Consider the following 13,463-nt stretch of genomic DNA (forward strand, 5'->3'; position numbering starts at 1 on the left):
GATTGGCTGGCTATTGATGTACATATAATCAGGAATATTTTGATCTGTTAAGTTTATTTATATCTTAACTTTTTCCATTTTTACAATAAAATCATTTACATGAAGGTTGATACTGAAAAAGGAAATGAATATAATGAGTATCAGAACTAAAGAAACGAACAGGCAGTGTCGCGCATCAGCTTAGCTGAGAAATATATCCTTGCTGTAATTAAACATCAAACTTGTCTCTGAACTTCCTCAATAGAAGCAAGTGCCAGAGGCTCTGCTCGCAGTGCCCCTCTGAGGGGCTTGCAGTCGCTGTCTGTGTGGAGGATTTGGGCACTTCAACATGGAGAGCCGCTCCTTCCTCCACTGCCCTGCCCAGGAGTGACAAGAACTTGCTTACGGCAGACTGTAGTGAGCAAAACTGAATCGCAAGGACAAAGAGCCCAACACATTTTCCTGAAGTTTAACTGTTTTCTAGAGAATAAAAGCAGGAAAGAACAGTTTTAGATTTGAGTATTTTCAGATTAAAAATACTTTGTTATGAGTGGTGACATAGGGAGAATAGTGCTTTACCGAATACTCCTTATCTGTTATCTCTTCATCAGGCATTATTTATATGATATATGATATCAACTCTTCCCAACAAGCCTAAAGAAATTCCACTATCATCACAGAGCAAAGAAAACTGAGTCTCTAGAAAGGCTGAAGAATTTGCTGACGGTCACCCAAGTAGTAAGAACCAGAGCCGGGATTTAAACTCAGATCCAATCAAATTCCTACAGTTTCATTTATTGAAGTGCAGAGCATTGTGTGTGCCGTAACGATGGGGCATAGTCTCACTGCTGATGGTGGCACAGGCATCTGGGATATCACGTAGAGATCCAACCCGTGTGCCGTAGCAATGGGGCTTAGTCTCACTGCTGATGGTGGCACAGGCATCTGGGATATCACGTAGAGATCCAACCCGTGTGCCGTAACAATGGGGCTTAGTCTCACTGCTGATGGTGGCACAGGCATCTGGGGTATCACGTAGAGATCCAACCCCTGTAACATCAAGGCCTCATAGTCAAAAGAGAAGACTATGTGAGGCAGAGCCCGTTCAAACAGAGGTCTTGTAAGAGAAGTGCTGCAGGCCCAGGGAATCTGTTGTGTCCAGGGAATTTTAAACCCATACAAGGACAGCCTGGCTGTTCCATTTTCTACGAAGCTGGGGAATAGTACTGAGTTCCTCAGATCATTCTTCTCCTTACTCTTTCCCATAATTTCAGAATCATGCAAGAGTCAAGAGATTTCACACTTTCCAGCACCCACATCTTTATCTATATTTATATTTATATGTCTATATATCTATATCTACATTTACATCTATCCATATATCTCAGATCTATCTACATATCTACCTATCATCTAATCTATCTATTACCTATCTATCTCTTATCTATCTATCTGTCAGTCCTCTATCTATCATCGATCTATCTTAAATATGTTGAGAGATAGAGACACTTACTCTCCAGGTTCTCTGCAGAGCCCTGACTACTAAGGGAAGTTACCAAATACGATGAGGGACAGGACGCATATTTGTGAGGGCAGAGGAGCATCTTATTTCCCAAGTGGAGTGTGGAGCCCCACGGAGCTCTAAGTGAGCCAGTGTTTCAAACCTCCCCAATGCGCTGTGTTCAACGGCTCCCAAGGAGGCATTGTCTCTACGTCTGGCCTGCACTACCACAACAAGGCCTGAGGCTTTGCATCAGAAAGGGCGTCCAAACCAGGAAGGCTGCGAAAGGAAAAGGGAGATGCCTTTTCTTGGGATTGCTGGGATTAAACCAGCTTAGAATCTGGATTTAAGTATAAAGGCCACATGGCTGCTCTCTCTGCAAGGTTTGAATTTGCTCCAAACTGAGAAGTGGACGTGCCTCCCGGAGCAGGTTTATCTTGAAAAGGAGAAACAACTGGGGTTAAGCTGAGTCTCTCAGGAGGCCAAGAGTACTTCCTTTCTGGGTGGGGCTTGTGTTGTGTTGGCCCCCAGGCAGGGGTTCAAATGGCATCTCACTTCCCCATCTCTCCAGCGTGTGGGCTGGCATCCACGGTCCTTCCTGCTTCTCTGCTCATCATGGGGAATTGACTCAATTCAGAACATTGGCCAGTAATTGTCTCAGAAGGTGACAAGGGCAGCCTGTGCAGTGGCTCAGGAAATGGGAAGAGGCCTCATTTCCTGCATTTGGATGGATGGACTCAGCCTGAATTCTGTTTGGAGTGGAGTTTGACAGATGCTTATAATAACTGTCTCTTACACTACACAAAATCAGCAACTGTCTGTGCAGGAGACTGGCTGTGTTCCATTTGCTAGAAAAGAAGCCAGAGAAAATAGCCCTAAAAATCAGCATGGAGGGTTTGGATTAGCCAGTTGAGGTCTTTTCTGATGTGGGTAGACCGGGAAAGCCTTTTTCAGGAAGAGGGAGCACCTCCTGCTTGGTGCCTCCGGAGTTTGTCACACCTGATATTATAAAAGGTCTTGTCGGAAAGGACCAGGAATGAAGCTCCCATGCAGCGCATGGCAGGCACATCCTGGATCCATGCAAGGTGATTTATGTGTGGTCACTTTCCTGCATCTGGCAACAACCCTGAGAGACGATGCAGGTGATAACCTCCGAGATGACTGCACAAGCTCGCATAATCATACACACAGAAAGATTAATGGTTCACACTCACAGGGCCCTTGTGATTTGCCAGGAAATTCTCTAAGCAGGAATGGGCAGGACAGAAGTGTTGACCTTCAAGCCCAAGTGAGAGCTGCTACTTATCTTTCCCTGAACCCAGTGCCCCCCTACTGGATGTATGCCTTGGACAGAAAATAAAATCTGCAGGTGAACTGAAAGTTAGTTCCAAACAGCCCTACCTAGGGACCCCTCTCCTTGGCAAACAGAAAAAGGAATACTTCTCCTTGTTCTGCAAGAACATCCCTTGTCCTTCGGTGAGACACTCAGAGACCAGCAGGCAGGAGGTGAGGCCAGTGTCTCCAGCCCAAGCAGCAGGAGTGAGTGTTGACAGTCTGGGGTTGAGGAGCAGTACACATGCATCGGTTGGAGCTGCTTTCAGCAGCTGATGAAATAATCACTGGCCAACAGTAACTTAGACAAATAGCACTTTCTATTTTTCACATAATGAAAAATCAGAAGGTAAGTGACAGCTCAGTGGTGTCAGACCTAAATATCTGCAGTTCCTATGACTTCTTCCACTTTGCTTGTCATATGGTTGCCAGAGCCCTGGACATTACATCCTCATTCAAGGCAGAGAGAAGTTGAGGGAGGAGGAGGGTTTTTTCTTTATCAAAAAGGCAAATGTTCCCTGGCATCTCATGACTAAGGGTTGGGTCGCATGGTGAAACTGAGCTGTAAGGCTGAGTGGGTCACTCCCTAGGCTTCGTAGTGGAAAGTCACTAGAGGGAGAGGAGGCTGAGAATAGACACTGGTCAGTCAACTAGGAAACCTAGAGACTCTCAGGAAAGTGCCAAGAAAATAAATTTTACAAAGGGATGAGCTCCTGTTAGCTAAGGGAAGATAGGAGGGGAAAGTTGAGTTATCTCAATTTAGACATGAATGTGACCTTACTTGCCTCCCCTCTGCTACAGAGACTTTGGGCTCTTTCCAAAAAGCCAGTTCTCATCTTCCTTAAGGGTGAGCTCTTCCAATGCACTAAAAGGGACAGCCCATCCCTGCCTCCCTTCCCTCATTTCTTCCTACTCATTGATGCACCCATGCTAAAATCACCTTCTCCTGGCAGGCAGGGCTCTGCATCAGCCCACTGGTTGGTCTTCTTGTGTCTAGACTTGTCCACATGAGCCTGCCCTCTGTATGATATCCAACTGGATCTCACTGAAATGCAAATTTGACCGTGTTACCCTGGTGCTTCAAATCCCTCAATGCCCCACCCTGATCTCCTTGAGGGCAAAGTCTAAGCTCACAGGCACAGTGCACATGCCCCCTGGACAAGGTCTCCCCGATACCCACTTTCCCTCCAGTCTTGGCACTCACCATGGCACAGGCTCCCTTCATGCCGCAGATCTGCATGTTGTTTTGCAAACACCCATGCAGGCAGGACCATGCTGAGAGCCAGGATCTGGTGTTGGCCCAGCTGGGTTTGAAACCTAGCCCTGTCTTACTAGCAAGATGAGTGAGGGCAAGTATTCTACCTCTCTGTGCTGTAGGTTTTGCAACTCTTACCAGGAGACAATGTTTTCTCCATAGGCTGTTTTAAGGATTAAATGTGTTTAGTCACCTAAGGCAGCAGTCCCCAACCGTTTTGGCACTAGGGACCGGTTTCATGGAAGACAATTTTTCCATGGACAGGAGGGTGTTTTTGGATGAAACTTTTCCACCTCAGATCATCAGGCATTCATTCTCAAAATAATCACATAGCCTAGATCCCTCACATGTGCAGTCACTCCTATGAGAATCTAATGCCGTGGCCGACTTGACAGGAGGCTGACCTCAGGTCTAATGCTCGCTTACCCGCAGGTCACCTCCTGCTGTGCGGCCCAGTTCTTAACAGGCCTCTGACCAGTACCAGTCTGCAGCCCAGAGTTGGGGACCCCTAACCTAAGGCACTTAGAGAAAGCATGGCAAGTTTTCATTGGCAAGCACCCCCTGTGGCTGACACCTTTCTGCACTGCAGGCCCTGGCTAACAAGGCTGAAGAGTGCATTTGGGCTCAGTTGGACCAGGACTTGAATCCCAGGAGCACCTGGTACCAATAAAGTAATATTGAGCTTCAGTGTCATCAGCCATAAAATGTGAATAATAATAATTCCCATCTCATGGGGTGGTGGTGGGAATAAAATGAGAACATGTATTTAAGCACTCAGCATGGTGCCTGGCTCACAGCAAGGACTCAATAAACATTAACTGTCCCATTCCTATCAATGCCATGGGGACTCCACTCACGTGCCTTTTTCAGGAGGATTTCCCTCTCTGCAATGGCTGCTTCCCTTTGCCTGTGCTGAGAGAGCCCTCTAGTGCAGCCCTTGTCACATTCCAATGGAAATGGGCTGCCCGTTCCTCTCTCCTACCAGAGCGAGACCCTAAATACTCCCAGCGCAGAGACCTGAATCTTCTATCGTGGTGGATTTGGCCATATCTTGTGTCATAAAATAGGTGTTCTGCTGAACCAAAAGGAATTTCTCCATTAAGAGCAACTTAATTAAATCTTCTGATCAAGTGAGGTTCTTCATATTACAAGGTAGAAATGTCAGGAAAAAAAAAACCTTAGTGATGCCTCTGTCTCTTTGCTTACAGACCTTAAAACAACCAAACAAGCAAACAACAACAACAAAAAAACCCAGAAAGTTGTTTGGCATAAGAGAATGGACAGAATTCTGTGTAATTCTTAGAATCAATGCCAATTAATAGACTGTGACTGTGCTGAGAAATCATATGTAAAACACACTTACAAAGGGTTTTAGAATTTACTTGAAAATTGCCCAACTGTTTTAGTTGGTTTTTGGAAAACCACCACATAGAGTTAGTGAAAATCTGGAACTATCTTTTTTTTTTTTACAAACACAACATAATATTTATACTGAAATGCATTTTCCTTCAAAAGCCTTCTCCCTATGAAGGCCGCTCTTATAATCATGTGGGAACCAGCCCCTTTGGCACTGCCTTCAGCAGCACATTTGGTCTTGTCTTCAGGCACAGTTTAACTTTTTATGGGGTGTTTGATTTTGGGAAATAATCAAAATCTTCTGGTGCCAAATCAGACAAGGTAAGGAATCAGGATGCCAGACAGACAAGATGAAGGGCCAGATGTGGCCACAGAGTGATGGGGCTGGGTTCTGTGTGCAGTTCTTAAAACAGATATGGGAGGCTTGTGTGAAAGAAAGTCTGGGATGACTGGTTGAGTAGGGAAGGAGATTGACTGCAGATGTACTGAGTCAGAAGCCTGGACCTGCCATCCATGAGCTGTATGACTTTAGGAAGCCCCATTTCTTCATCTTAACAGTGGGAATAACATCACCCTCCTGCAGCATCATATCATGAGTTAGAAATAAACATGTATACATGTGTAGCATGTCTTGGTGCTAAACACAAGTAATTATTAATTTAAAAAAGTTATGAGTGGCACCATTGGAATTAAGTATATAATCTTCCAAAAGGGTGATTCTTAAAGATAGCATGTACCTAGCTATAACATTCATTTATTCATCGACTCTATTTTTCAACAAATGTACATTGAGTACTTATTTCAGACCTAGTACTGTTTTAGGTTAGGATATAATAAAATTATGAAACTAACAAATCCTTTGTCCTTCTATAAACAAAATAATATAAAATAGTGTATCAACAAAATGATATTAACAAACCTAAAATATAATAAGGAGAATTAAGAAGAACAGTAAGAGAGCTGCTATTTTTATATAGGGTGGTCAGGGAAAGCCTCCTTAGGCAAGGAAAACCTGAGCACATTCAGGGAACAAGCAGAGACGAACCATGTGGACCTCTGGAAGAAGAGAGTTTCAGGTTAAGAAAAGAATGGGGACAAAAGTTTTGAATATGTTGTGTTGTAATAAATGGATGGATGCATGAATAGATGGATGCATGAATAGATGAATGCATGGTTGGATGGATAGATGAATGGATGGATGGATGGATGGATGGATGGATGGATGGATGCATGGATGAATGGATGGATGGACGGATGGATGCATGGATGGATGGATGGATGGATAGATGGATGCATGGATGGATGCATGAATGGATGAATAGATTCATGGATAGATTTATGGATGGATGGATGGATGGATGGATGGATGGATGGATGGATGGTTGGAGGCATGGATGGTTGGAGGCATGGATGGATGCGTGCATGGATGCACAAATGAATAGATCCACAGATGGATGGATGCATGCATCGATGGATGGATGGATGGTTGGAGACATGGGTGGTTGAGGCATGGATGAATGAATGAATAGATGGATAGATCAATGGATGGGTACATGGATGAATGGATGCATAGATGGATGGAGGGATCATGAATGAGGAGTTAGAGAGACAGAAAAATTATTTAAAGGAAGGGGATCACACCGTGTATGCACACCCTAAAAGGGCTGGTTCTGCACTCAGGTGCTCTCTGGGACTGTGGAATGCTAGACCACGCTGCACTGTTTCTGCTGCCTCAAATGGAATGAATTTACTATAGGGCAGTTGCTAATTCTCATCACTGTTCTCCAAAACAGTGGACATGACAAATCTTCTCATTTTTTTAAGTCTCACACATTTCACTGTGTGGAGGACCAGCAATCTAAATGTCAATGTCCTAGTGGCCACACTTTTCTAGTATTTCCAATGTGCTTCTCCAAGCCCCAAAGGATCAAGGCTTGAAAGAGGCATTCACCTCACTTGGTCATCCAGCTCTAGAGACGATGAAGACGGTCCCAGCCCACCTCCCACTCAGATGGCAAGCCACTTGTCTAGAGAGCACAGGGAAGTGTTGGAGAGAAGAACATATTCTGTAACCACAACCAATGAAACCACACAATAGCACAACAGGGCCTGCACTGAAGACAAAAGTAACTGTTGACTTGGCATTTATTTCTATTTAAGCATTTGGAAAACACAGACCCCAAAGGAAGCACCCGTGTGCGAGTTAGGAACATAAATTTGATTTATTTATTTATCTTGAGATAGGGTCTTTCTCTGTTGCCCCGGCTGGAGTGCAGTGGTGCAATCTTCCACACCCGGCTAATTTTTGTATTTTTTGTAGAGACAGGGTTTCACCATATTTCCCAGGCTGGTCTCGAACTCCTGACCTCAAGCCATCCACCGGCCTCGGCCTTACAAAGTGCTGGGATTACAGTCATGAGCCACCGCGTCCAACCTCAAATGTCTTTTAGAGCAGGAACTGGCAGTGGTGTGGAAGCCAGGGAAGCATGTGGAGGCTGTGAGAACTGCAGGGGTGGGTGCAATATGGACTTTGGGTGTCAGGACCCTGCTATGGTGCAGAACTGACAAGCGGCCGACACTCAGCAAATGGCCAGGAAGGCTCCCTGCAGTGTCACAGCCAGGCATTCTGAGCTCCAGGAATACAGAGGTACAGAGACGTGTGGGGGAAGCAAAGAAGAGCAGCTGCTAGAGCATTCGTTCTGCCTCCACACCTCACCCGCAAATCCAGCCTGTGGGTTTGGTATCGTCTGGGGCCACGGGCTGGGGTGGACCTGGCGATAAATATCTCCCCTGCCTTTTCCAGAGATGTAACTGGAACAGGTGTTGGATGTGCTCTGTGAAATTTACATGACCACCCCTATCCGTCCCTAACAATCCCCTCAGAGAGTTATTGCATCATTGGATAACGAGTCTCTGACCTCACTTGGCTCGCAGTGTAGACCTCTTGGCTCACTGCCAGGAGGAAGGAACAGGGTGCTGAAGGGAGTGCACTGGCACCAGAGGCCCAGTACTGAGCACAGCAGACAGAAGGAGGAACCCGACCATGCCACCGGGGCCGACAAGGGACTCATGGAAGCTGCTTCTTGGCCCTCCCTCCTGGGTGAGGATCTCGAACCCTCAGATGGGCTCTGGCCTGTGCCTGCAGGCCTCCCTCTGTGACGTCTGTAGGACCTACACCCCACCCTGCAGGGGTTGCCCCTGGACTTCCATAGCTGGGTCTCAGGAGTGGGAAGTGGAGTCACCAGCTTGCAGCCATCTGGGAAGTGTTCCTATTGAGGGGTGGCGTGCAAGAGAGCCATCCCCTTCAGCTGTGGAAACTGAGGCACAGGAGACTAATGTTGTCAGGTTCCAGTGAGCATCTGTTGTACTTTGCAGTAGCAGACAAATGGGGTATCCACTGAGGAGAATTTTGGAACAGCCAGTGGCTTGGTTATTAAGGGGTGTGGGTGAGTTGGACTGGGGGCTGTTGCTTTATGTGACCCCAGCAACACCTTAGCAGAACCCGGCTGGGCCACTTTTCTCCATGAAGCTGCTCGCACAGCACAGGCCTTAGAGGGGGCACAGTGTAGTTTCAGCTGCCCATTCAAGAAGGACCCCCTGCTGCGGGCCTGAGGAGCCTGGAGAACAAACCTCCGGAATGTACCCCACTTCCTGGCTCATGGCCTGCTCAGCCCCCGCCCCTCCCACCCCCGGCACTGGTGGCTGGGTTCGGCTTCTCCATCTTGGATGTGGTGCCTCTCTCCACTCACCTTGCCAATGACAGAGTGATCGTCCTAAAGCCCAGCACTGGCCTTGCCACTGTGCCCAGAACCCACCATGTCCTCCACTGTCCAAAGCCATTCAGGCCCCTTCCAGTCTGTTCCAATTGCATCCCTTCTTCCCCAGACCACAGCCAGAGCCCAAGCCTTACTTTCCCAATGCCTGATGGGAACGCCCACCCACTGCCAGGCTGAACAGGGGCCATGTACTCTGGTCTATTCTGGGTTGTCCCCACAACTTTATTTTGCATTTCCTCATCACCACTGCCAAACCCCCAAACTCTCCGTTTCATATTCTTAGGTAACCATAAAGTGCAATCTTTCCTAGATGGTTCTGATATAATTGTTAATAGCATCCTTTTCATTCACAAAAATGTCCAACTTAGGCAACAGATTCTATGGGCGTTCTACAGACACACCCTTGGCCAGTGGCCCCCTCAGGCCGGTGAGCAAAGGGGAGCCCTGCTCTGTGTCCTACCCCACTCCCAAGGCCCAGCTGAGTGCCTTCCCTATCACTCCCTTCGCCGCCCACAGCTGTGATCTCCCCATTGATGACCCCATGGTGCTGGGTGGCAGGGGTGAGAGCACATGGTTGATCGTTCTTCTGAAGTGCATGTGAAAGGCTGTGTAAGATTATGGAGCATCTTTCTGGGTCCCACCCTATTTTCCAAGAATCAGTCACCAAAAAAAGTGCTCTGTGGCCACTCAACCAGGCCAGGAGGCCCCAGGTCCAAACAGGGCCTTCAGCTGAGGGCAGGCATGGCTTCAGTCATCAGGCCCTTCCTAGGCTGCAAGATCGGACAATGTCACAGAGCTAGGGCAATGTCCACCCCAGCTCCTCATGGTCCACCAGAGCAAGTGTCTCCAAGCCTGTGGATGCTGCTGAAAGTCCCAACCTTTCTGTCTGCTCCTGAAGGCAGGCAGGGCCAGGGCAGCCTTGCCGATGCACCGGGGGCAGAGCTGAGGCAGGCATTTGGGCTTGATTAAGCCCCAGACCTGCAGAGTCCCACCCAGTGCTCTGTGATTCTCTAGAGGGATCCTGAAGGAGCCAATGGTGGCATCAGAACTGCCCAGGTCCTTCAGGCCACAATGAACCTTTGGAAGCCTTACAGGCTGCTTGTTGTGCTGGAGTCAGACGAGGTGCTGGCATCTAGGGATGGGAAAAGAGAAGCGAAAGAGGACAGTTTTCAGTACTGGTTCACTGCCTTCCTGGTTTGCCCGGGACCCAGTACTCTCCCCAGCTCCACCTCCGCAAAGGTCACTCACTGCATTTCTGTCCAAGAGGCTTTTGCCACAGGCTTTAGTTTTCACTGAGGGCTTATTCCCAAAAAGAGAATCTCAAATGCCTGGGGAGGCAGCTATGGGAGAGAAGCACTTGCCAAAGACTGCTCAAGTCTCCCTAACGGCCCTTGAGCCTAGACATAAGAAGGCCAGGCTGCTGGGTGAGTCAGCCCTACCTGTGGCAGATGCCAATGGCTCCTCTGTGCCCAGGAGACCTGGGCAGTAGGAGGGAGGTCTCCCACCAGCTCCCACCCCAGGCTTATGTCCCAGACAAGACAGGAGGCAATGAAACTGCCTGGGTGTGACTCCTGCCAGCCTCTTCCTCAGGAAGGGGAATTTAGCAGGCTTGGATCTGGCAGAAAATGACTTCCCAGGCTCCTTGCACACCTTTCCCTCCACACAGGAAGCCCAAGTGGAGCTGGGAACTGAGGCAGAGACAGGTCTGGTGGGCCACGCTGGGAGCCACAGCCCTTATCCCCAGGGCTGCAGTGTGGGGGTCTAGGTCCTGGAGCAGGGAGGGGGCTGTGGCTCTGAATATCCTTGTGCAGGATCTGGTGCTCAGCTGAGATCCAGAAAATGCTTCCCTGTCTGCTAACCCAAGCCCGTCTTGTATCCAGGGCCCCTTGCCATGTCTTTCCTTCGTGGAAATGTCCAAAGCAGGCCAGGTGAAGCTAAGAAGAGAAGAGTACCTGAGTTGGCATTTCCCCATCACCAGGTGTGTCCTGAGTCGGCATCTCCCCGTCACCAGGCGTGTCCTGAGTCGGCATCTCCCCGTCACCAGGTGTGTCCTGAGTCGGCATCTCCCCGTCACCAGGCGTGTCCTGAGTCGGCATCTCCCCGTCACCAGGTGTGTCCTGAGTCGGCATCTCCCCGTCACCAGGTGTGTCCTGAGTCGGCATTTCCCCATCACCAGATGTGTCCTGAGTCGGCATCTCCCCGTCACCAGGTGTGTCCTGAGTGTGTCCTGAGTCGGCATTTCCCCGTCACCAGGTGTGTTCTGAGTTGGCATCTCCCCATCACCAGGTGTGTCCTGAGTCGGCATCTCCCCGTCACCAGGTGTGTCCTGAGTCGGCATCTCCCCGTCACCAGGTGTGTCCTGAGTCGGCATTTCCCCGTCACCAGGTGTGTCCTGAGTGTGTCCTGAGTCGGCATCTCCCCGTCACCAGATGTGTTCTGAGTCGGCATCTCCCCGTCACCAGGTGTGTCCTGAGTCGGCATCTCCCCGTCACCAGGTGTGTCCTGAGTCGGCATTTCCCCATCACCAGATGTGTCCTGAGTCGGCATCTCCCCGTCACCAGGTGTGTCCTGAGTGTGTCCTGAGTCGGCATTTCCCCGTCACCAGGTGTGTTCTGAGTTGGCATCTCCCCATCACCAGGTGTGTCCTGAGTCGGCATCTCCCCGTCACCAGGTGTGTCCTGAGTCGGCATCTCCCCGTCACCAGGTGTGTCCTGAGTCGGCATTTCCCCGTCACCAGGTGTGTCCTGAGTGTGTCCTGAGTCGGCATCTCCCCCTCACCAGGTGTGTTCTGAGTTGGCATCTCCCCATCACCAGGTGTGTCCTGAGTCGGCATCTCCCCGTCACCAGGTGTGTCCTGAGTCGGCATCTCCCCGTCACCAGGTGTGTCCTGAGTGTGTCCTGAGTCGGCATTTCCCCGTCACCAGGCGTGTCCTGAGTCGGCATCTCCCCGTCACCAGATGTGTTCTGAGTCGGCGTCTCCCCGTCACCAGGTGTGTCCTGAGTCGGCATTTCCCCGTCACCAGGTGTGTCCTGAGTGTGTCCTGAGTCGGCATCTCCCCCTCACCAGATGTGTTCTGAGTCGGCATCTCCCCATCACCAGGTGTGTCCTGAGTCGGCATCTCCCCGTCACCAGGTGTGTCCTGAGTCGGCATCTCCCCGTCACCAGGTGTGTCCTGAGTGTGTCCTGAGTCGGCATTTCCCCGTCACCAGGCATGTCCTGAGTCGGCATCTCCCCGTCACCAGATGTGTTCTGAGTCGGCATCTCCCCATCACCAGGTGTGTCCTGAGTCGGCATTTCCCCGTCACCAGGTGTGTCCTGAGTGTGTCCTGAGTCGGCATCTCCCCCTCACCAGATGTGTTCTGAGTCGGCATCTCCCCATCACCAGGTGTGTCCTGAGTCGGCATCTCCCCGTCACCAGGTGTGTCCTGAGTCGGCATCTCCCCGTCACCAGGTGTGTCCTGAGTGTGTCCTGAGTCGGCATTTCCCCATCACCAGGCGTGTCCTGAGTTGGCATCTCCCCGTCACCAGGTGTGTCCTGAGTGTGTCCTGAGTCGGCATCTCCCCCTCACCAGATGTGTTCTGAGTCGGCATCTCCCCATCACCAGGTGTGTCCTGAGTCGGCATCTCCCCGTCACCAGGCATGTCCTGAGTCGGCATCTCCCCGTCACCAGATGTGTTCTGAGTCGGCATCTCCCCATCACCAGGTGTGTCCTGAGTCGGCATCTCCCCGTCACCAGGTGTGTCCTGAGTCGGCATCTCCCCGTCACCAGGCATGTCCTGAGTCGGCATCTCCCCGTCACCAGATGTGTTCTGAGTCGGCATCTCCCCATCACCAGGTGTGTCCTGAGTCGGCATTTCCCCGTCACCAGGTGTGTCCTGAGTGTGTCCTGAGTCGGCATCTCCCCCTCACCAGGTGTGTTCTGAGTTGGCATCTCCCCATCACCAAGTGTGTCCTGAGTCGGCATCTCCCCGTCACCAGGTGTGTCCTGAGTGTGTCCTGAGTCGGCATCTCCCCCTCACCAGGTGTGTTCTGAGTTGGCATCTCCCCATCACCAGGTGTGTCCTGAGTCGGCATTTCCCCATCACCAGGTGTGTCCTGAGTGTGTCCTGAGTCGGCATTTCCCCGTCACCAGGTGTGTCCGGAGTCGGCATTTCTCCGTCACCAGGTGTGTCCTGAGTGTGTCCTGAGTTGGCATCTCCCCCTCACCAGGCGTGTCCTGAGTTGGCATCTCCCCATCACCAGGTGTGTCCTGAGTGTGTCCT

The 13,463-nt window shown here is 50.1% G+C and overlaps 2 annotated features.

The window, feature by feature from the left end:
* Positions 7,906–8,534: an enhancer, noted in NCBI's record as "H3K4me1 hESC enhancer chr11:134906565-134907193 (GRCh37/hg19 assembly coordinates)". NCBI's record gives its function as "activates a minimal SCP1, AML or CMV promoter by ChIP-STARR-seq in naive H9 embryonic stem cells {active_cell/tissue: H9 hESC(naive)}" and the evidence as "EXISTENCE:reporter gene assay evidence [ECO:0000049][PMID:30033119]".
* Positions 10,225–10,725: an enhancer, noted in NCBI's record as "H3K27ac hESC enhancer chr11:134908884-134909384 (GRCh37/hg19 assembly coordinates)". NCBI's record gives its function as "activates a minimal SCP1, AML or CMV promoter by ChIP-STARR-seq in naive H9 embryonic stem cells {active_cell/tissue: H9 hESC(naive)}" and the evidence as "EXISTENCE:reporter gene assay evidence [ECO:0000049][PMID:30033119]".

The sequence above is a fragment of the Homo sapiens genome, chromosome 11 (genome assembly GCF_000001405.40).
Source record: "Homo sapiens chromosome 11, GRCh38.p14 Primary Assembly".
NCBI classification, from domain to species: Eukaryota; Metazoa; Chordata; class Mammalia; order Primates; family Hominidae; genus Homo; species Homo sapiens.